Genomic DNA, 24,132 nt, shown 5'->3' on the forward strand with positions numbered 1-24,132 from the left:
ACACGGTGGGAAGGAATTCCAGAACCACGTGAGAAAGAGTTGTTAGGACAATGCAGTCGTGAAATACCATGTTTCCAACCCTATCACTCTATTTTAAAATAGATAATAATTATAATTTTTATTAATATCAAACAAATTAGCTTTGGGACCTATGGCCCTAACTTAGGGGTCACGGCTGCAGTCCCCTTTCTTGCAGACCTGGCAGGCTGCGCAGATAACTGCCCCCAGCGTTGGCCAACTCTGGACGCTCTCTTCTCCCATAAAGACACCAGAGAGTGCTCTTCAGCCCCCGTGTTTCAAAGGGAGAACCCAAACCCACCCTAACTTCTGGCAAGACAAATCACTTATTATAGCTGCTCACCTCTTCACAGAGTACCCACCTCCAGGAAAGGTCACTAAAGGTCCTGCCTGGGCCCCTGGCGTGGCACAGGGTCATGGTCAGTCTTCTCTGGAGCCTGAGTCAGGGCCTGGTGGGGAAAGGCGGTGTCACTTATAAGGGAGTGGGGAGGTGAGAGCTGGAAAGGGCTGGAATGGCACCTTTTTAAAGGAATAAAGCCCTTTAAAGATCTTCAACTCAGGGACTTGGTCTCTTTGAGAAACAGCACCATAATCTAATTGGAATAAAAAAAGGATCTATTTAATTAGAAAGAGACTGTTAGGAACTGGAAGCTGGGGAAAGGAGTAGGGACTCACTGGGCCCTTCTCAGGGATAACAAAGAATCAAGGGCCTCAGTAGCAAATTACAGAGTTTATTTTGAAAATTCAAATAAAACCACAAAAATTCAAATAAAAACACATTCTAGACTATATCTTTGTAAGCTTTGGGGGACAAACCTCAAAGAGTCCTCCCAAAGGAAAACGCACCAGCTAAGCCAGGTGCCTCCAGGCTCGTATAAAGGGGAAGGTGAGGTCAGGAGGCCAACAGCCATTTTTTAGAAGAATGACACCGCAAGACGTTCCTGGTCTACTATTTCGCATGAGGAAAACACGCTTTGGCTTCTGGTGGCTCAATTGAGATAAAAGCAGAGAGAGGTACAATAAAAGGAATTCATAACAAACATTATGAACACCTGCTTGGATTAAAAAGTTGACGGTTTCCTGAAACGGGCTCTGCTAAAAGGGACTTCCTGGAGAAATCAGATGCCTCTGGAATGGAAGACGTCCAGGAAAGTTGGGATGGCTGAACAACAGGTAGGGTCACTGGGTGGATGGATGGACCACTGAGATTTTTTAGAAAAAAGCTGTTCTCACAGGAGATTTAGTAAGGGCAGTTTATAGGTTTAGATTCTGCTGTTCCTTATTTTCATTGTTCTTCCTTACCCCTCAAAAATATAGGTTAATGAGACATTAGCTCATTTCACATCCTAAATCCAAACCCTCTTCCCTTGGCTAACACGGGGCTGGGTTGGGATGTTCACATTGACCATAATCATTGGGAAAAGAAACTTAGGGACTTCTATCAAACATGAGAGTTTGGGAATGATATCTGAATTTCACAAATTAAAAGGATTCTGAGCTGCTGGTTATAAGTAAGGAGGGGGACAAAGGAGCATCAGGAAGCAGGGTCTGAGGGGGTCTCTGCTCCTTTTGAGCTGGGTTTCTTTGGGTAAATCACTTCATCTCTCTCTGGGCTTCAGTTTCCTCATCTGTACAGAGAGGAGATGGGACTCCACATGCTCTGAGACCTTCCTGACATTTGTAGTCTATGGTCCTGGAGAACTGATATCAGTCTGGAAAAGACATGAGGTAGGGGCTGAATTCTAGGATCATGAAGGGCTCTGCCAGCCTTTCATCCAAAGAGGGCCAACCTTGTTCCTGGGGAATGGTGAGTACATTTTCTAGCAAGTTCCTTGGGACTCCTGACCAATGTCAGCATGTCCGCAATGCCCCATCTAGATTCTGCCCTGAAAGAGCCAAACAGGAGAGCAGTAGTGTCTGCCACATCTTTGTGGAATCCTGCCCTTTTGCGGTCAACCTCAACTCAGGGAAAGTAAAAAGTGCATTAGAACCTAATGAAAATTTCAAAAGATCTTGAAAGATGCCCACCAGCAGCAGACAGTGACATGATCAGTGCCCATGGCCAGGCATATCACGGAGGTGTGCAGTGGCCACGAGAAACAAGATGTTTGTAAAGCACTCTGAGCTCTTAACTGTGAAGAGTCAGAGAGGCAGAGGCACCACAGTCCTGGTTTCCACCTGGCTGGCCATCAGGATTAACGTTTCACTGCACAGCCAATAAGCCCAAGACTTCAGAGGACTGGCTGTATCTCCAGATTTGCGGAGGGGGGAATGGCTCACTGTGGATAGGTACACTATTCTGCCAAAAGGCAAATGTCTGCCAAAACACAGACTCTGGAAAAATCTGTCTAGGTGCTTCTAATACCTTCTGTGTATGCTGGTTCCTAGCATTGGGAGTGGGGGAGATGTGTCTCTCTGAGTCTGGGTTGGAAAAATATAGAATGGCAAAGTCCTGTGTGCCCAGGGGAAAAAAAGAAGTCCATGATTCTGACTCCTTTAGGGAGAACAAACGAACCCTGTGCCAGAGATTCACCTCTATTTCCCAGAGATATTGCTTTCCAAATCTGCCTTCTTTCAAAAGCTGTGCAGAAGTACCTGGCTGAAGAGATGACTTGAGATCCCAGCAAGAAGAAAATCAGGGTAATCTTGAACCAGAATAGTTTGCGCCTTTTAAGACATGCATTTCCTCTGAGCAAGTCCAGATGTCCAAGGGGGGAGAGGGGATGCTGCGAGCACTGTCTCTAAACATACAGCGATCCAATCTCTTAAGCAGTTGAAGATCCACTTTTACTTTAAATGCACTGAAGGCCCAAGAAAATGTAGATGCCTCTCTCACCTAACACTGCCCTTCCTAATCTTACCTAGAGTGAAACTGAGGCACAAGGAAGGCCAGCCCATTTTTCTGCAGCTCTCCTATTGAAATGGTGCCACTCCTGGGAGGAAAACCCAAGATCTCTCTGAGTCCTTCAATATCTTTCATTGCCTTTTTGCTTAATTCACATTTAAAGTCGGCCTGTCTATCACTCTATAATATATTATATGCGCTATTTGTATAAAATATAAATACTTCTTATATTTCTGCTTAATTTCCTGTCTTTTATCCTCCTTTATATAACTAGGTTAAAAAAAAAAAAAGATGTTCCATGACAAGGGAAAAACCACAGTACTGCTCAAAGGAATAGGCCTCCGGAAGGAGAGATGACAGCCCTTGTCCATGGGCCCTGGGGGTGCTTCAGATCTGGACTGTACAGCAAATTAAATGGAACACATTTCAACAGAAATCGGCAATGGAGACATTTGAGCCAGACGAAGTGAACTTCCACAACCTGGTTTTAAGGAACAGTAAATACAATAGAGATAGATAGATACGCTATGCTGAATCTTGAGTACTAAAACAAGTTATAAATAGAAATATGCTAACTTAAAGAAGACATACATCATAGGGATTAGTCTAGTCAACAACCAATTACCATTAAGATCAAAAAGTAAACCGGCCTTTTCACTGAGTGCCTCCACGACATTTCTCAATGCACTAAGTACATTTTAACCATGCAAAAATACACAAACATCTTAACTAGGTTGTTTTTTTGTTTTGTAAAAAAAAAAATCAAACACCAACATTATGCATTTTGTTAATTATATTGGTTAAAGTAACAGCCAGTGGCTGCCAAATATCAGATACATCATATACATATTTTTGTACAGAATCTGGACAACACAACATTACACATCAGAGAGAGAAAGAGAGAAAGAGAAAGAGATTATTTGTTCCTTCGTGGGTTTGTTGTTGTTGTTCAGTAAAAAAAAATAAAGTAAAGTGTGAGAAGAAATGCTAAGAAGGAAAACACTTCAACAAGTTAGGAATACATAGGGAGAATTGCTAATCTGAAATACAGGAGGAAAAGAGTTCATATTTAGGTCTGTGTCTAGAATTTTCTTCACTAAGAAACAAAAGAGTACAACAGGTGTATTGGTTTGGAAAAGCAGAAAGAGCGATAACATCATGCTCTCTGCTTCCCAGCATGTTTCCAGCAAGAAGAAAAAAATCATAAGCACAAATTAATTTCACAAGTTTTGTTTTCAAAAATGTCCTCCCTTACCCAGGAAGCTGGGTAATGCAGGGGTGGGGGGCAGCTCAGTTGAGAGAGTCCTTGGCAAAGGTTTGGCCAAAAACTGTTGGCCTTAAATTAGTTGGAGATATGAACTGTCTGTGGGAATTCACGCAATGAAACGCAACAACAGCTTGCTCCATCTAGGCAAGATTTCCTGTTGCCAGCTCATGATCTGGCCAAAGACACAACCCCCATGACAGGTTCTGCTAGCCAGGCCCCAGTCCTGCCCCTTAAACATCTGGCATCAACACAATCTTAGGAATTCAATCTGGAAAGAAAACGAGACCTTGAACACAAGCTATGGAAGCGCTACCGTGGTCACGGTTAGATACAAAAATGTGAAAATTCAGATGTAATCAAAAATACAAAATCAGTTTCAATAAGATTTGCTTTTTTTTTTAAACCATTACAGTGCAAGGTTTTTCAAATTACAGTAAAAGTTATGTGTCTGCTTACAGTAACTAGAGTAAATAGCTGATTTTGTTCTGCTAGAATCAGAGGTCCCTGATAAGTGAGAATGCACCAGTCTGAAATCAACCCAGCACAACAAATGGATATCTGAACATAAACACGGTTCATTGTAGTCTTTACCCCTTTAAATTATAGTAACAAAAGAATGATGTCCTTTGCACAACTCATTAGCATGATGTTCTTCTTCCATTAAAAACAATCATAGCAAATAGATGGTATTAAAATTTCAGAAGAAAAGGACTGGAAAACCGGGGCTGACCAGTGGAGGATCTGAAGGGAGTTTCCCACATCACTGAGCTTTTCCCATTATACTTATTATTATTATTTTTTCCTACCATAATCCTCTTTGGCAATGTTGCTTTGTGCTTCAACACCAGTCACCCACACCATCCCAGGCTGTTGCGAGAGGAAGAGGCAGCACCCCATGGAATGAAAGGAAAACATAATGGGGTCACCCCGAGGAAAGAAAAATGGAATAAAATGAGAGCTGGGAGGCCAGGCTGGGGAGGAGCCTTCAGCTGATAAACGAGGGACCCTTGTCAAGGCCATTGTGCCTCAGAGTCTCACGGTCAGCAAGGGAAGAAAGGGAAAGTCAAGAACGCAAAAGGCCATCTGGGAACAAGAGTTGCTGTTCACCGAGAGCCTCACCTTTGGGCAAGTGTCTGGCAGACAGCGAGAGGCTAAAGGAAGTAATCAGGCAATGGTCTTCACATTCATGCTAAAGGACAGGAGGAGAGGCAAGGGAGACTGAGGGAGAATCCTCTTCTGAAATTTGTAGCAAGAACTAGTCTGGGACAGGTTGAGAAAGGCAGGATGCATCAGAATGCCTCCAGGAATCCTGCATGCCCAAGACGAGGGTGGATGATGGCCCTTTGGCACGGACCGCAAGCTAGAAGCCCACGGAAGCCACACATCATCCCTGTTGGTCTTTGGCCTTCCTCATGTGGCCCCTCTCTAGCCTTATCCTGGGGCCTAAACCCAAGATAGCAGCTCTTTGAGCCATTTGGATTGGCCCCTTCTACCCCAGTCTAAGTCCCTCCTAATTGCACAGGGCAACTCTTCCTAGGTTAAGTGAGTTGGAGAGGCAGTTTTAGACAGAAAGAGGCTGCTGTTGAGGCAGTAGGGGAGTGGGACTGGCCAGCCCTGTGTAGGGTGTGGGCAGCACTCTCTCTTGTCTCCCCTGGGATGTAGCCTGTGGTTTGATCCACCTACCTCCTACTAGTGACCTGCATTCAGGTAAGAGAACCCTTTACTCACACCCGTGGCCCAAGAAAGGGAAGAAATGCAAATTCCTCTGCCACATTAGGAAGTTTTTCTTACTTTGAAATAGAGTGTGAGATGTTAGTGTGAGCTCAGGAAGCACTCGATCATTTGGTTAAAATCTGGCCATAGCAGGAAATTTGGACTTCCTCTAAACATTTTGCCACACTCCTCAATAAGGAAAAAATGATCCCCCTGACCCTACAGGCTCAGTGTCCACCAGCGTCCACACCAGTCTGGTTCCTACTCTCATGGGTAGAAGTGGACAGCTGTGATCAGTCCAGCACATGGCCTCCTCCAGCACGCACATTGGGGTTTGTTTTAGGAGTGACAGAATCAGGCAGAACCAGTGCCCCTGTCCTTTGCTTTTTGCGTAAGGTGCTCACACTTATTCATTTCTTGGGCCAGAGGAGATCCCACCTTACTTGCCTTCTGAATCCCATCTCTTACTAAGCTTTCCCAGACTTCAGTTTCCACCCATGACCTATCATAGTAAAGCAATTGTCCTGGAAACCTTCTCTGTACTCCTCACCCAGCCCTGACTCAAAACACAGCCACCACTTGGTCCTCTGCGATTCAGAGGTGGTACCCTCTGCTCATTGCTCTGAGCCCCCCTAAGGGAGTGGTTCTGCAAAGCCAACTAAGGAGCCGCTGACCATGGGTCTTCCCTCAAAGGGAGGATTTTTAAGAGGTGCAGGCTGCTTTGGCTGAATGGCCTTAGCAAACACCATGATGTTCTTCTGACATCAATCCCCAGAACTCTGCTTTACTAGATCAGCTCTTTCCAAATGGTGTTTCTCTGGCCTGGCAGTTTGTAGATGAAACCATGTTTGAGGATTTGTGATCATAGATGTATTTACATAAGGAAGTGGACAGAATAAAATTAGGAAATGAGATGATGTGTAGTGTGGCTTTAAGGGTAAAGATATGCTTAAAGAATCCCGAAAATGCCCCAGGACAAGGCTATGATGTCCTACTCTTGGTACCTAGGACCATCTGGTTCTATTTACCATTTGTTGGGAGCCACCCTGGCTGAAAGAGATTCCTAGGCATGGTGGAGAACAGGCATTGTCAGTCCAGGGCCTTGGTGGGGAGGTAGGTGGTCTGCTGCTCCTCCAACTCTCAAAAGAAGGGGCTTTGGACATCACAGACAGCAGCATGGGATTCGAAATTGGACCCTAACCCCTTTATAGTAGTGTGACCTCAGGTGGGCTAACCTCTCTGAACTTTAGTGTTCTCTTTTGCATGTTGGGTGTGACTTTATTACTCACAGCGTTGTTGAGAAGATCAAATGAGATACTGCATGTGAAAGCGCCCCACAGGCGTTTAGGAACTGTGCTGGAAAACCTTATTCACCTCTGATAAAAGCATCACAGCCTTCCCCGGACAACCTCAAAGTTCGATACTTTTCCATACCCAAAGCATTTTCTTAGAGCGGCGGTCGTTTGCTAAGTGGCGTTCTAAGGACAGGAGAATTTGCAGTGTTTTGCTTGGCTTTATTTTGTTTGGTCAATAATCTCTGTATATCCCATATGGCTGATTCTCATCTCCTGACAAGCTAATGCTCCGGTCTGCACCCCAGTACATTTCAACTCCTTGACATCAATAACAAAAAGGGGATTAGAGGAAGCAATGTGGTTTTTGTTTTTGTTTTTAACCTTCAAGATATATATTGTGAGTATATTTATTAGGGTGAGCAGTTGGCTTCATCTTTTTATTTATTTTTTTTTTTTTGAAATGGAGTCTCGCTCTATCGCCCAGGCTGGAGTGCAGTGGCACAATCTCAGCTCACTCCAACCTCTGCCTCCTGGGTTCAAGTGATTCTCCTGCCTCAGCCCCCTGAGTAGCCGGGATTACAGGCGTGCACCACCACACCCAGCTAATTTTTGTATTGGCTTCATCTTTTAATGCAAGATAAAAGTAGAGTTGAATTGATTTAGATGCTTGCCTTCTATGTAAGGAGGATCTCCTTGGGTTCTTATGCTCATAAACATTAGCATGGATTTAAGGAGAAGCTAAATTTTCTTGCCATTTGTTGGATGAGTGGGTATTGATAACAGAACTTTCGGATGGGAAGAAACTTTAAGGAGTGTCACCATTTTGCAGAAGATGAAACTGTGCTTGGGCACGTGGGGTGTGTTAGTGGCAAATCCAGGACTCCAGCTGCTGCAATGGAATGTAGAAACGGGTGACCCTGCTTGGAGGGGAGGTAGGGCTGGATGACAGTTCTCTGTGGTCCTGGGATGCAACAGCATAGCTTCCTAACTCTCGAATTTCTGCTGACAGACGTCATTTTCAACTTGCTCTCACCCAGCCATGCTTAGAGAAATCACTAGATAAACGCCTAGTGGACTTTCAGTGGTCCAGTTTGCCAAACTGAACTAGGAAATTGAGGAAGAAACAATAGCTACGTCTTGAAGGTTAAAAAATAAACAACACTATTTCTCATCACCGCTAATTAGTAGGGACTTTTAAAAAAAGGCACTCACCATTGACCTAATCTGTAGTGTTAAAAATGGAGATAAATATGTAATATTTTGGAAATGGGTGCCTGGTAAGTGAAGGATGCAATGAATGTGATATATCATGATTCAGAAACCCTTGTGATAAATCACCTCAAGACATATCTCAGCATTTGCCATGAGGTTAGAGCAGTGACAAAGAAACAATGAACGATTCTTAAGTGGAATTGATCAGAATTCATTATTGGCCTAAAGGGGCAATGTGGTATTAACCTGGAGCTTCTTATTTCACAGGGAACCTTTCAAGGTTAGTCAACTGATCCAAGGCCTGTGTTGACCGCTGTGTCATGCTGTTGTGTCCCATTTCTCTCTTGGCTCTTCCTAAGAGAATATCCTTTTCTCTTGTTCTCTGTAACCCATGTGCCTATTCATAGTATATTGCTTAACCTAAACTCTATAAGTCCAAAAGGCTCAGGATGGAGGCATGGGGTCTGTGGACATGTAGAAACAATGGCTAGGAATGACAGCTAGAAAGGCATAGGGATGTTGAGTTTCAGGTCCTTCTTCTTTCCTTGGGGTGACGCAGTAAGGGGGCCCTTTCTTCAGTTTCCAGACCAAGGATAACATGATTACGTTTTGCTTTCTTTCTAAAGCAATCCGTCTCAAAAGTAGAGGAATCTTTTCCTTACTCTCCCCTCCCCTTGTCTCTTCTTGCTGTGGTTAAGCCATTTTTTCCTGTTTGAGAAGTACGCCTGGTGACTGATTAAGAAGGAAGATGATTGCAGGAAGCATCCTCTAATGATGGCTATCAAAGGAGCCAATATATTGGTGCACACTGGGAGTTACTTTTAGGCAAAGAAGGGGGCATATATCTTAATTGTTTCCTTATAACCTTCCCTAATGTCCTTAACGCAGGATGTGCCATTCATGAGGAAGGCTCAACAGTCCTTAATGCCCATGTCATCTCCTCTTTCTTTGAGCTTGGTGGTGCTAAGATGCCTTCCTTTCCTTTGAACTTGAGAGAGCTTTATCTGCATTCATTAATTTCATCTTACTTTTCAGCCCTGGATGTACAGAGGTTAGCTCCCTACCAGACTGTGAATCACTTATGGACAGGGTCTAGTCACACGTCTGGGATCTTTGCTAGATGAATAATGAGTGCGTAAGTTAGAAGACTAATGGACAGAATGAATTGACTGCGCGTGAGTCCAGGAATCTCACTGAGACCTTAGTTCTCAAGGGAAGAAATCTCTTCCGTTAACCTCAGGGAGGTGGCTGCCAGTTTTGACAGCTGACATGGGGCAACACCGAGGTCTTTGCAAGCTTCCTGAAGCCAAGCTAGAGCCCAGTACTTCAGGTCAGTGGTGTTGGAGGCAGCAATTTTAGCTAGAGGCAGAGATTTGCTGTTCAGTTCCTTTTGAGCAGTTTGGGCTTCAAAATATAATGATGCCACCCAATGCCCTGATTTCTTCTCTACAACATAGAGAGATTCTGCCAAAAGATCTTCCTGGGAAAGATCAGAAGAACACCAATTGGCTTTAAAAGTGGTTCTCACAGGATCTATTTTATGTATTATTTTCAGCAAAAATCTTTGGAAACAGAGGAAAAAAAGATGTCTTTTCCATATGTCAGTCTCAGGCTGATGCCTCAAGGGCCCCTGCTCTTGGGCCATCTCAAGATGGGTTGTTTAGACACAGGTCAAACCGGCCTTGGCTCCTGCAGGCTGAGATAAAATGTACCACACAGGGAGGTGGCCTCTCAAAGTTCAGTGAGGCAGCAGGAAGAAAAGAAAGGTAGAATGTCCCATCAGTCAAGCAAGGGAGTGTGTAGGCAGAGGTGTGGTGGAAAATCCAGAAGACTTTCAGCCAAGACACTTGATCCCACATCGTGGTTTTATTTCTTTTGAATCAAGTTGAGCAAATCATTCAAGTGCCTAGGTCACATTTTTCTCACATGGAAATTAAACTAATGTGTTATATTTCTCTAGTTGAAAAAGGTCATTACAAGGAATAAGTAAAATAAACTAAGAAAATATATAGAAAAGCACTTAGCAAATTGGCATGAAGCAAGTGCTCAGTAAATATGAGTTAAATCTGAGATGAATGATGGTTTGGGCAACACACCCTTGAGCAGACATCATGGGTGTGGGGAATATGGGGTCCAGTGAGAGTCTGGGGTCACCGTCAGCCTGTGGTGCATGGTGGTCAGGCTTGGTAGAGCCCCAGATCGTGGGTGGTAAAGGGAATGATTAAAATTTAATATCTTGAAGCTGGGAGTTAAAAATGATTTGTGTAAAATAGAAGTCCAACTTTTCTGAATGTATGCTTGGCTGACATGGTTTGTCTATCAGCTCCAGGGATGCAGGTGGTCACCATCCCACCCATTATGAAAAGATTCCAGGCCATGGATCAGCAACAGTAGAGTTATTTTATGGAAGTTAAAGAGAGAATAATTATAAGGAACAAGACTGAAGGAAGTTGGGGAGTTCCAGTTGGGATCCCAAGCCTGCTTGTCCTATTAATAAGTTCTAAGGTTCAGAACTGCCATCCCCTGCATTTCCACTTAGACATGCTGAAAATCTGAGGTCAAAGGCCAGGCCACACTTTAAATGCTTCAGGAGCAGATCTGTCTGTGGGGAGGCCCTCCCGCTTGTCTCAATTCTCTGTGCCTTTGCATCTCTCGTCTCAATGTCTGTATGGTTTTGCTTCTGTGGTTCTTAAAGTCTCAGAAGATGAAACAAGGTGCACAAACTGTTGAAGAATCTGTGTGTAGTGCTGAGAGAACTGGGGACCATTGAGGAAAGGATCAGGAAAAAAAAAACTGTCTTGGCTTCCTTTTCTCATGGTATCTGGAAACACCTGGACCCACTACACAAACTATAGGAGAAACTGGGACTTACCCCACATCCTGAAGACTCAATTCTTCATTAGGAAATGCTGTGACCACAGTAACCAGCTCCTTGGCTGCTACAGTGAGGGCCTGGGGCCAGCCAAGTTCTGCATGGCTCAACCAATTCTAGGAGATTGCACTGGCCTCAAATATCCAGAAGCTTGCCTGACCAGGGTTGAACTAAAACCCTATTAAGAATCAGAGACTGGAATCTTCTGTGTCTTGGGCAGCTTTGGGCTTTAAGAAATTCCATTTTTCATTCAAGTTCCTTCCCTTTGGCCTCAAAAACTCAGTGGTTCCAGAAATCACATGTAAAGTGGTCCACTGACAGCTTCCACTCTTCTGATGTGCCTTGCAGATGGAGACATGCAAATCACCACTTGAAGCCTCATTCCTCCTGTCTTCCACCACATGTGGAGGACTAGAGGAGTGGTTTTTAGATACACCAAAGCTGTAGGGGCTTAGCTTTGAGCCAAGGCATGCACATGGGTACATCTGAGCAACTGCAAGTCCAACTCTTGGGGTGTCCATGAAGTCTTTGAAGAAGGAGTGTGGTTATCCACAAGGAAGAGCCATTCCCCGAATCACATTTCGAAACCAAGGTTTAACCTAGCTTCAGCTGAAGGGCTATTCTTTCAATAAGGTTGGGTGAATGTTAACAGACAGTGGAAGACATCACATGGCTTGAATATGTGCTGCTGAAAATTCTGTTGCTTTCTCATCAGAAAGAAATCAATATGGTAAGCGAATGAAGGATTCATCATGACTATGGGCATGGCCAGCCAGATTCACTCATTTGCATGCAGGCTATGAATCCCTCAAAATTCAACTCAAATGCCATCGTTTCAAAGCCTTCCCTTCTACCTTCACTTGGAAGTATCTCTTCCTGTTCTGGATGTCCAAAGCATCTTGCACTTCTCCTTAGGTTCCATTTTCCATTGCAGTATGGTTTTTAATGTACATTTCTCATATCTTGTATTACATGCCTTGAGGTTTATTTCATCTTTATATCCCTAAGTTACTAGCCCTTTGCTTGGTAGAGTAAGTGTTCAATAAATATTTGATAATCAAATGATTAATTGAATTTGAAGTGAGAATACTGTTCTGGCAAGGAAACTCGACTGGGGTAAAATAGATTCATTATCTGTCACATTGTCCTTGCAGGGAAGGTCACTGGGAAGACCCAGTGGCCTGAGAACATACGAAATGTCAAAAATCCTCTACCAGAGCTGTACAACACCTTGAGTTTAGGGTAAAAGAAATTCTTGCATAATCTGCCACATCCCATTGTAATACATCTGCTTCCTCTGGTCCAGTGATTTCAAAGCTCCTAAAGCATAGAAGCTGTTCTTGCCCAGAAGCAGAAAACCAAGAACCCAAATAGGCAGTCAGAAATGGTTTCCAAACTGGAGATTTCCTTGGGAGTTCAATAGCAACTGGCAACCATAAACAGAACTGAAAGCATCTCTATCTAGAATGATTACATCCTGGGGACAGCATCTTCTCCCTTTCCAGGCAACAAAGAGGTGTAATGATGAGATTTAAAATAAGCAAACAAAACTACAGCTTCCTCCCAGCAGTGCAGAAAGCTCCCCACAATAACCCAACAATGGTCATGCCCCAAGGACCAGCCCACTCTGCAGAAATATGGTCTACAAACAGAAAAGGAAAGGGAAAGAAGAAAATGCTTTTTACAGTGAATTGAAGTTCAATTCTTTTTCCCTATTCCCATACTGGCTCTGACATATCAGGGATTCCCTATCAACTAAGGGAGTTTTGCTCATGAGTGAGCAGAAGGTCACTATGAGAACAAAACTGGCTGGTCTGGGTCAGAAGTCCTGTTATGCCATCTCCTTGGGTTACCCTTAGAGTTTGGTCCATTGTGAACCCTTCCTCTATAAGAAATAGATTAAACCTCATGCTTAGGGCTACCAACATGTATATCTAAAATGCCTCGATCACAGATGCAGCAAAAAATTCCTTCTACTAACTCTGAAATTCCCGTTATCTGTGCCCTGGGGAGCAATGGGGCTGGGATTCCAGGGAGGGCGGCACCAGGTGTGGAGAGGGCCCAGAACCAGCATGGAAAGAGAGTTCACTCCAGTATTCAAACTTCAGAAGGGTCTCCAGGAAACAAGGCCTCCCCTGTGGAAAAACTGGGGAACTGAGATGAACAGAAAGACAAGAGTCAAGATGAGCAGGTGTAGGTGGCTCTGCAGCTAATTTTCTCAAGGCATTGGGTGGGGTGAAAGGTGGTAATACAAGAAAGGATCCTCCCAAAGTCTCCCTAAAAACAGGCTCCTCTGAGTGCACAATGGATATGTCACAATGGATATGAAAGAATAGGGAATCATAAGAATTGTGTTTTCTAGTACCTACAGAAAACAAGCAAAACATTTCTTTCTTAAACATGTAATTATTTCAAAGGAAATTTTGGAATCTTGGGAAGCTCAGTGAGGTGGCAAATTCCTCAGAATCAGAAAACCAACTTTGGAAGCATACTGTCATTGTGCCCACGTGTGTGTTTGCCTGTGTGTGAATATATCATATATTCCCACTCACCTACTTATGTGTGTGTATATATATAAATATATATATTTATCATTATATTTTTCCCTTCAAATCAACATCAGTGTGTTCTACCTTCAGTACATGTTTTATCTGCATTTCAATTCGTAGACAGACCTTTATATCATAAAAAGAGAGAAATAGTCAAGAACAGGCAAAGTCTAACCTAGCCAGGTTGTTTTAAATGCTTACTCAGCATCATTAAAAAAGAAAGCAAACCTCCCCAAATACAAGTTAAAATGTCCATTACTAATACATACCAGCAATTATTTATGATAATCAAAAAAGAAAAACAAACATATTATGAAATATTCATTTTTCTATAGCATTGCATGTATTTTATGGGCAATGTCACCATTTGTGGAAATAATTCCCCCTTTCAATGATCACTTTTCCGTAGCGCCCTAGAACTGGGGAATAATAAAATACTTAAAGGGTTTTGTTGAAGTATCATTTTTAAGGATCTTTTATTCTAACTTATAGACTTTTCTTTATACCATTTAAAATATATTGAAGGAATTTAAGAAAAGCCTTAGATTTTGGCCAAAGACACAGAAAAACAAGGGTGGTTGGACCATACAAATTATTTAGGGTTCGCAACCTACATGTGCTTAGCTAAAGGATAGCAATTCTGTTCAAGCACATAAATAAAGGGAATCCATTGCAAACAATCCACCTTCTATTCACAATCCCTTGAATCTGTACTGTAACTGGTCAAGATTCTTGTGAAAACCTTGAGTCTTTATGGCATCGCTGGCTTGTAGACTACAAAAGTTTCCAAATCACCGTTCCTCTTAACATGTGGTATGAAACAGAGTTCCAGAACGTTTAGAGAAGAGGTGGGGGCTGGGCACAGGATAGTTCACCACCAAATAGCACAACACATAAAATCAACCTAGGGAAAATGGCGGAGTCAAAAAGTCAAAAGCAGCCACATCACACAAGAATGCCAGGGAGTCAATGAATACCGAATTTCATGCCAAGAAATTGAAATTTTAAAAAGAAATAAGGTTGGACATCAATAAATACCAAAAGCGTCAAGAAGTCAAAGCCAAACCAATGTTTCCTTTTTCCCCCTACGCACGAACCTTTTGTTCTAAACCCAAAGCCCAATGGCATTGAGATCCATAATTTTTTCTGAAAGATTCAAGTCTGCAGAGATACTTCCCTTCCATTTGATCACTTGAGTCCACAGAAATGAAGCACCTTTGAAACCAAGAGTTGTTCAAGAATCCTAGTGTCTTATTCAATGTGTCAAAAAAGTACAGTTAAAATAATTAGAATAATTCATCAAATGACAAACACAACAATATTGACTCTCGTGAATAGGCAAAAAGTTTCCCGAGACAATTCACAACTAAGGAGATAGAGCACAATAAAAGGCTATGATATTTCAGGAATAGTCTGTGTTATAGCTTTGAACTTTATTGCAAAGCAAAAAATATATATTTATATATATATATATTTTTATCTACATTTCACCTCTGACATTGTACACAACACGAAAGCACAGGAAACCAAAAAAATCATAATGAGGTAGATACATAACACTTACAGATGGAGGAGACTAAGATTTTAAATTTGGCTTAATACTGCGGTCACCAATGTATGCATTTGCAATACAGCAGCAAGCATTGATTCACAAGGCAAGAAGCCCAGTGATCTCAAATCCAAAAATAAGCCCCATTAAAAAAATACCTGCTCAAAAATGAAAAATATACATATATATTTCTTTAAGTCAGGGAATCAGATGTGTTCAATTGCAAACCCTGGTGAAATTAAGAAAGTCTTTGTTTTTGCTTTTTGTGCCCAGGAAAAAAAGAAGTAATTTTAATTTATCTAAATAGGAGTAACCCATCCCATAGGGTTGTTCTATGTATTCTTGCCAGGTGGGGTTGGAGCACCTTGTGAGCTCAGCAGCCCAACATCGATAGTAAGGGAGTCAGGGTTTCTTCATCTTCCCTAGAGTTAGAACTCAATTCTACAGCCACTGTGTCAGGGACCACTTTGAGCGCCCTTGGCACCTGCTGGCTGGAAATCAATTTAGCTGTAATGGATCTGGCCCAGCTTTTCCTCTCTTGGGTCATCTGCACTCATAGTGGTTGAAGCAAGATCTACCAGATGGGGACATTGAGATGGTCCCTTTCTCCTTCTCATTTCCAAGAACAACTCTTCCAATGGAGAGCTCAACAGGCCACCAAGAAGGCTTCCATCAGCCTTGATCTTAACTGTGAATGCAATTTTACTATAAAATGCTCTGTCAGGCAGTGATAGCTACTGCAGAGACCTCTTTGTCCTCATATTTCTGTCCTGGATGGAAGGAAGATGGGGTAAGAAGAAAGCAGACATGGACATTGGTTTGCTGAGGCAGTGACTTGGAGAACAGAGCCATGAAACCACCAACCAAAGAAGGGTCAGCTCAGATCAGTACAGGCGGCCAAAAGAGACCTAAGGGACTTGGGCAAGAAAACCAAGCAGTAACTTTTGGGTTTGTTGGACGTGGCTAGAAGGCTCTAGAGACTCTAGAGAAAATGTGGAAGATACAGGGCTCAGAGGCATCTGTTGGGCTAAATGCTGAACTGAATCAAGCTCATTGGATTGTTTAGTGGTTATTTTTACTCTGGACATGATCCTACTTTTGGCAGGATTTGCTCTGTTGAGAAATAGCTGGGAACAGTTGCAGCCCAGGTTAGGGGGAAGACTGAGGGGGTCCTAGTGTAATGCCTGGTTCATTTGGGGATGATGGTAGGTTGGGAGAGGGAACTGATGAGAGAGGCCCTTGATGAGAAGCCGTGTGAACTTTGGGAGGCATTAAGTCAGCTCTGCCGGGCAGAACCACCCTGTCCTCCCAGAAGCCGGATTGTAGTGCCCATAGGTTTGTGCTTTGTCTCCCTGCTGGACTGTGAGTGCCTTAAGAGACGGTCTTTCCTCTTTGTCTTCCCAATGTCGAGCAGAGCTCCTGCTGCATGGAGGCCATGATCCAGGTTGAATTGGGTTTTTGGGAAATGCAAAAAGAGGATTGGTTTGGGGAAGAGGGGATGGTATCAGCAGTGCTCTGAGGGCTTTGAAGACCCTATAAATACATATTCCCCTTGGAGGCAATACCCAGGGGCCTCCTCCTGCCTTCCTCGATCCATTTCAAGTGAAGACTTACATTTGAATTTTGAACATAAAACATTGGACCTGATGAATGGAAAGGAATGAGAAACAGTTCATCTGAGTCTGTATAATAACAGGACACAATAAAGATGAGCAGCTGCTTCCAGCGTGGATGGGCTGTGAGGTTGGTGGGAGGATTGCTGTCTGTCTTAAGCATTGAACTTCAGGATGCAAAGACAAGGTGAGGTACAATTTCTACTCTTGCCTTCGGAAGTTTCTGGGCAAGACAAGGCCAAGGGCACTTCCAAGTGTCCCAGAGATCATTCATCCAGAGGCAGGGGCTTTGTCCCCTTGGAAGCCCAAAGCAAAAGAAACCAGTCTGGATCACAACAGGGAGCAGTAGGCCACTTCTAAGGGAAGACTATCCAATTACGTGGTACTCAATCATGAATGGAGGCAAGGAGCTTCTGTCCTTGGAGGCCTGTGACAATAAGTATGATAGCCTTTTGTCAGTGACTGCGTGGATGAGCAAAAATTAGGTGGTGTCTGAGTCTCCTTCAAACTCTGAGATTCCACTGTTCCTTGTGCTCTGAAGAAGCCCCAGCTATGCTCAAGGACTGAGGGATTTTCCCCATGGGTAACCACTGGACATTGGCAGGATTAGAATAACTTGTGTGTGTGTGTGTGTGTGTGTGTGTGTGTGTGTGTGTGTGTGCATGTCCTCACTCAGAGGGTGCTCGGTAGCCATTAAGCTGATGTAATTGTTGTAAACAAACATAAAACACGAGACTGCTGGTGGAGGAAGAACATGGCAGTCTTATCATTCCCCTCGCACCAATCTCTCTAATCTCTTTCTTCCTGTCCATTTCTGCTCTTCTCCCCATCACCCTCTCCCTTATGCTCTTCTCTCATTTCTCTCTTTTGTTTTTGTTTTTGAGATGGAGTCTTGCTCTGTCACCCAGGCTGGAGTGCAGTGGTGCGATCTCTGCTCACTGCAACCTCCACCTCCCAGGTTCAAGCGATTCTCCTGCCTCAGCTTCCCGAGTAGCTGGGATTACAGGTGGGTGTAACCACACCTGGATAATTTTTGTATTTTTAGTAGAGACAGGGTTTCACCATGTTGACCAGGCTGGTCTCAAACTTCTGACCTCAGGTGATCCTCCCGCCTTGGCATCCCAAAGTGCTGGGATTACAGGCGTGAGCCACTGCACCCGGCCTCTTCTCTCATTTCTATTGTTTTTAACCGGTTCACATGGAAGTGAAAATCACCGTCTTCAGCCTGCTAGTTTGATGTTGGTATTTGCATTTGTTGACTTAGGGTCCTAGAGTGGTTTCTGTTCCCAAATCTGAAGGTATCTATTCATCATTCAAGACACTTTATCAAATGTATTTGCCTGGCTCACTTTTTTCATACCTTTCTGGCTTGGATCAATCACAGAGGTTACCAAGTTTATGCCTGCATTTTAGAGATTGGGACATTGGGGCTCATGGAAGGCGACGGCCAGCCCAAGAGCAGTGAGGACAGGAGCAGATGCCAGTTCCCAGGCCCTGGCATGGTCACCCCCAACCTCAGCCTGCCTTCTCCCTAGCCCAGCACAGGGTCCTTCCGGGACTGCTCCTTCTCGCTGCTGAGTCACAGTCACTGTCTGCAAAAACTGCCTCAGAACTGACCCCGTGAAGCTTAAATTTCTTAATTTGTTCTAACTCCGACTTCTCATCCCCCCTATATCCTTAGGAAAATAATCCATTTATCTGAAAGTCATCTCTCAAGGTCATGGAGAACAAAAACAAAACAAGACAGATAGGAGACACTAAAGTTCTCAGGACAACCCAAACAGACAACTCAAAGTGCACCTGGGAGGGCTCCAGTTCCACGGATCTCCTCCAGAACATAACTGAAGGGGTAGGGCTCAGGGTGACCTCTGGAAAGCAGGCATCATTTTCCATGTGACGCTGTATTTCATTAATCGTCCCTGAATTTTCCCCACTCTTATCCTAGTTTCTTGGGCCAACTGAATGCAAACAACAATGCTCAGGCTTCCTGGATTTAGTCCCAAACATTCCACACCAGGCACTGTGAGCTCCCTGGTGTTTGTGAGCCATGAGGAGGGGGATGAGGTGGAGTCCACCTGGAAGAGGAGCAGGATCACTAGGGATGAAGCCGAACCGAGATACTGAGGTCTGCCCCCAGCTGAACCCCTGACTGACCATGGGACCCTGTGCAAATGTGAGGACTCCCTGAGCCTCAGTTTCCCCATTTGTAAAAGGGGGGATTTCTCACCTCACCAGGTGATCCTCAGGATTTAGAGGAGATGATTTGTATGGAGGCATTGGGCACAGAGCCTGACACATCTGTGGCCCTTGGTTACTGTGAGCAGTATCTGGGTCCTCTCATCCTCCCCAGAAGGGCTCTGCTCTGCATCACTGATGTCACCCGCTCAGACCACACTGGACTGGTTCTGACACGTGACATTCCTGAGACCCCAGTAATTCTAAATGCTTCTTTCCTCTAAGGAACTGTCTCCTACTCCCATCAGGGGAAGCACAACATCTCTGACCAGATTCCTTCTTCAGAAGCAGCCAGCCCTGCAGGGCTCTTGGCCGCCCCTGACCTCTCTGGCCTGGCATTCAGGACTGTACATCCATGGGCCACTCAGGATCTCAGGGTCCAGTGGATGGCAAGAGCCCACATAGCACAGGGTCGGACTCATCCACTCTGATAGGGAAGATTTTTCCAGCAAAGGCTCTGTTTACACTGGGAATGAATTGTCAGGCTTCCGAACAGGCAGGTTTCCTGGGTCTAGATTTGGGCAGAAACTCAACAATGCCACAGACTGCAGAGGTGGGCATGACCCTTCCCAGAACGGCAGGTTGTCACAGCCCCCAAATGGGTATTGGACACTCTGATTTGGCCCTGGGCAAGCAAGGAGTGAGGGATCTCCACCACTTTCAACCTTTGGCCACTCTTCATTCTGCCCAAGGTGAGTGAAGACCCAGAGGCCTGAGTGCCAATGGGGCAGGCTAGAGGGGACTGGGGTCACAGGTCCAGACCTTGGCAACCTGCAAGAGACTCCTCCAAATGTACAGCTGATTTTTAGAGAGGGCCAGGAGTTGGGAAATTTCATGGTGTCCTGGAACAGATCCCCTGTAGACTTTCTGAGCCTTAAAGACAAGTCAGCTTTGGGGAAGCTTCTTGGGGTCTGGTTATGCAGGGCCAGGTCCCAGGACAGCTCTGAAAGTCTCCAAACTACTCACTTCAAGGAGAAGAGGAACCCTTTATTCCTATTATATATAAGAAAGAAGACCAAAGAATGGGTGAGAAATTCCCAGGATGGTTCTCAGCAGATGTGATCTATGGAACAAGACAAAAGTAAATGAATACCTCTTTGTTCAGATCCCCTGAGTAGCTAAGAGAATGTGCAGGATTGGGGAAGGCAAGGAATGAGGCCACTAGAGACAATGCACTTCATCAAAGGACCGACTTCCTTCTTCACTCCAAAGGAATTTCATCTAAGCTCCCACCTGCCGCCGAGTGGAAGCATGTTGTGCTGGAGCAGTTAGGCAGTGTCTGGATTTCTCTTTTAAAAATTGTCTTGGATGGCTCGGCCACCTTGTGCAAGACTTGTAAACCATGTGCAAAACTCAGACTTGTGCAGACAACCAGAGAAGTTGCAAAGCTGCCTTCTGCGTACAGGGCTTCCCCTGCCAAGTTTGTGCTTTGTGTAACCATGTGACCTATCATCTTTCTCTCAACTATTTTTTAAAAACCTCTCAAAGTCTTGCTCAGCCGAACTGGCTTGATGGTAGTTTGTAAATGTGCTAGAACCCGCTGCCCTCACTGCAGCTATGAGTATGTTTCAAAATGTTTCCAAATGGCACACAGTCTAGGGCCAATTTCCTGAGCACTTTTGACACTGGGCTCTCAAAGATTCCCTTTATATCTAACTTTCGAAATGAAAGCAGATGCATTAACCCCACTTGGGCAAGTTGCCATCAGTGGCTGGCAGGGGAGGAGAGGTATTAGGAGTCCGTGGTGCAACAGAAGGGACATGGGATTTGGCACTGGGTGGAGTAGCTAGGAAGGGCACAGTTGGCCTAAAGCTAAGGCAGAAAATACTAGTCCATCCTCTGGGTATAGGTTACTCCATAGAGATGACCACAAATAAGGAAAGAAAAACACCCAGGTCAGGTCCTCCCCAGAGTCCACCAGATTCCCTGCCATGGTCTTGACTCAGGACCATGATGTAAGTACTAATTCAGCTGCAGGTACACATGATCTCCCCACCCCCGGCCCCAGAGGTCACATGCTCATTTTTCCACTTAAGCCAAATTTTTCTTCTTGCCTTAAGTTAACACATCCCCAAAACATATATAAAAAGTAGAATCTGTAAAGAAAATAAATATTTTGAACCAAGAAGAGGATGAAAACAAGTTGTAAACATGTAACTGAAACAGAAAATACACATCAGTTCACTTACAGAACCAAACGAGGTTACACTGAATCATTTCCAATTAAAGAAAAGGAAAATTCTTTTTTCTTTAGCTCTTAAATTTAGGAAAAGAATCACTGTAGCATGCTCACCTTGAACCAGGGATTGGATATTGTGTTTCTTGTACAAAGGAAAAAATCTGTGAGGATTATGGAAAACAGTTTGGAAATCTAAGGTGAACGGGTGGGGAGAAAAACTGGAAGATTGCATAGTTGTGAAACAGTGGCTTCTCATCAAGGTGAACAAGTGCATCATCTGATAAAATAGCATTTGATATATATCTTTTCCTGTTCATGTCTGCTTGCGGTATTTTGTTCTCTGTCCACCAGACATTTCACACACTGGAACATATATACAGTACACACACACACACACACACACACACACACACACACATGCTAGCATGAAACATCTGAAGTACACAGCCATCCTTTGAAAGGACCCCACACCGCTAGTTCTGGCAAAGTTTATATTCACCAATAATACACTTTAATCACATCCTAACCCACTTCTGGTCAAAACTAATCTCTTGGATTCTTTCATTAGTAACTAAAGGGGGTGGGGTGCGGTAGAAAAGGATGGGGACATGAAGGAAAGCCTCAGAAATGGTTCTCTTCTCTTGCTGAACTTCTGCGGAAATGCCTCACCTTTTGGTTAGAGGGACACTATTTTTTAAGAGATGGGAAAAAAACTGCCTCTTTTTTTTTTAAGCTTTCTTGAGGTAAACGTTATTGGTTAGCGCCCTAGGCAGGGGACATTTTTACAGCACTGTAGAGAAACCTTGGAATAAAGAAGAAACAACACAAAAGCATAACATCAATGCTCAGAACATTTAAAAAGCACATCTATGTCTTGATTTATTCCCCTTTCCTCTCATTCAGCCTACTCCTTCTACTAACATGTGGAACAGAACAGAAAGATGAATGATTTCCCATATCACACTGGGCATCCCTTATCCCATCCCCACTCTAAACCTCTCTTGCACACATACTAAAAGTTGTGAATTAACTGACAAAATAAAGATGACCACACTGTACGTTTTTCCATTCTATCTGCCTCAAACATATATATATATATGTATATAAATATATATATATGATAGTTTACCTTAATATAAGAAATAGCAAAGGTCTTTTTGTTACACTTTATACAGAATCTCTGCATCTTATCTTCATTTTCTATTCTCTCTGTCTCACTTTTTGGATAAACAATTGGCTATAGCAATCTATAGTAAGGCTTCACAGAAATAATTCTGCATGTTTTGTTTTTCTCTAAGAACCAAAGTATATAAAATGAGGTTTGATTCTAGCACCTTATACAGTATTAGTGATGTTGTTCCCTTGGGAGAAATTAGCACTACCCAACGCCCTAGGTGAATCTCCATCAGTTACAGAATATTTAAGGTATTGCCAAAGGCAGGACAGAAAACATAGCAGAGATGGAGAAACAAGAGGCGAACAAAACAAAACCCCAAGATTTAAGTCTTAGCAACATATAAACAAAATCTTAACATGTCAAGTTGCTGTCTCCAAATTAATAATGATCTAGTGATTCAGTATCATCAGTTAATCCTTTTAAGTTACTCTTCCCCATGAGGTAAATATTATGATACTCATTGTAGATGGAGAACCCATGTGTGGGACGTATGCAGGTCACAGGGGAAACTGAGTCAGGACACGAAGTGAGGGATGCCCAACTTCCAGCCTCTTATTCCCAAACTGTCCCCTGCCACCTTTGATAGGTGAGTCAAGATTTTGGGGAAAGCAGCTTATTGGCCACTAATGGGGAAGCAAAACAAACAAAGAATTAAAAGAAATATATATCAGCACCAAAGGAAGTTCAAAAGAAGCTGCACTTTGCTCCCTTATCAAATATTCTGTGTTACGGAGACAGCAACTTTCACAAGAAGGAAGAAGAAAACTTGTCACAGGAGAGTAACCCATCTCATCTGTTGTGCCTTTCCCAAATGTCAGTACCCTCAAGAGAGCCATTAGTTCCAGTTGAGTAGTATATATTTTTGTAGAGGAATGATCAACTCCCACCAAAGCTGCATCAGAACCTCAATTATATAGTTATATAACTATGGTGATATATCTATATCTAAGTATATATTTATACATTAAAGTCTGTTACTGCACTGGCACAGAATACCATTTGCTGGCGTTGCTGTTTGCTGCAAGTGGTCGCCTTGAGTGGAGTTACACAACAGAGAAGCACCACGAGAAAAGGCACCACAAGGTTCGAGAAGTTAAATTGTTTGTTGTCACTGCCCTGACCTCGCCACGGTGGGGGAACAGAAAAGTCTTTTGAGCAATTGATTCAAAAGCTCCCAGCCCATGTGCATCTGTCCCTTCCAACTCAGCAGGGAGAGAGGGAAGAAAGAGCATGACATTGTTCTTTTTAATGCGATTTTCTTTTTGGCTAATAGAAAAGAAAAAACAGTTTCTTTTTTTTTTCTTTTAAAAATAAGGGGTCTCAGACACTGAAAACCCAGCTCTCCTAAAACAGTAAAAAAAAAAAAAAAAAAAAAAAAAAAAAAAAGAAGGACAAAAGTCGTGTGCTAAGGAAAGTCCTACATGGAAATCTGTCTTTCTAGCATAATTACTCAGTTGCAATGCATTACGAAAAAAAAAAAAAAGAAAGAAAGAAAATGAAGGAAATTACATCCATAGGCACAGTTTGCCACAAATAGCACCAGGTCTAGATTAATGAGGACAGACAGATGTCCACATCTGTCCACATAGCTGAGAACCATGGATGTTG

The 24,132-nt window shown here is 43.4% G+C and overlaps 1 long non-coding RNA gene across 1 annotated transcript in view, besides 1 other annotated feature; it reads right to left on the reverse strand.

Moving 5' to 3' along the window:
- LOC112268022 (uncharacterized) overlaps positions 1-23,877 on the reverse strand; it is a 26,576-nt gene extending 2,699 nt beyond the window's left edge. The window contains exon 1 of the long non-coding RNA XR_002956694.2: positions 381-23,877. This is a non-coding gene — a long non-coding RNA (uncharacterized LOC112268022). The remainder of the gene's footprint in view (positions 1-380) is intronic.
- Positions 18,229-18,278: an enhancer, noted in NCBI's record as "active region_26997". NCBI's record gives its function as "activates an Ori minimal core promoter by ATAC-STARR-seq in GM12878 lymphoblastoid cells {active_cell/tissue: GM12878}" and the evidence as "EXISTENCE:reporter gene assay evidence [ECO:0000049][PMID:35858748]".
- Positions 23,878-24,132: the final 255 nt, after the last annotated feature.

This window comes from Homo sapiens, chromosome 8, assembly GCF_000001405.40.
Source record: "Homo sapiens chromosome 8, GRCh38.p14 Primary Assembly".
NCBI classification, from domain to species: Eukaryota; Metazoa; Chordata; class Mammalia; order Primates; family Hominidae; genus Homo; species Homo sapiens.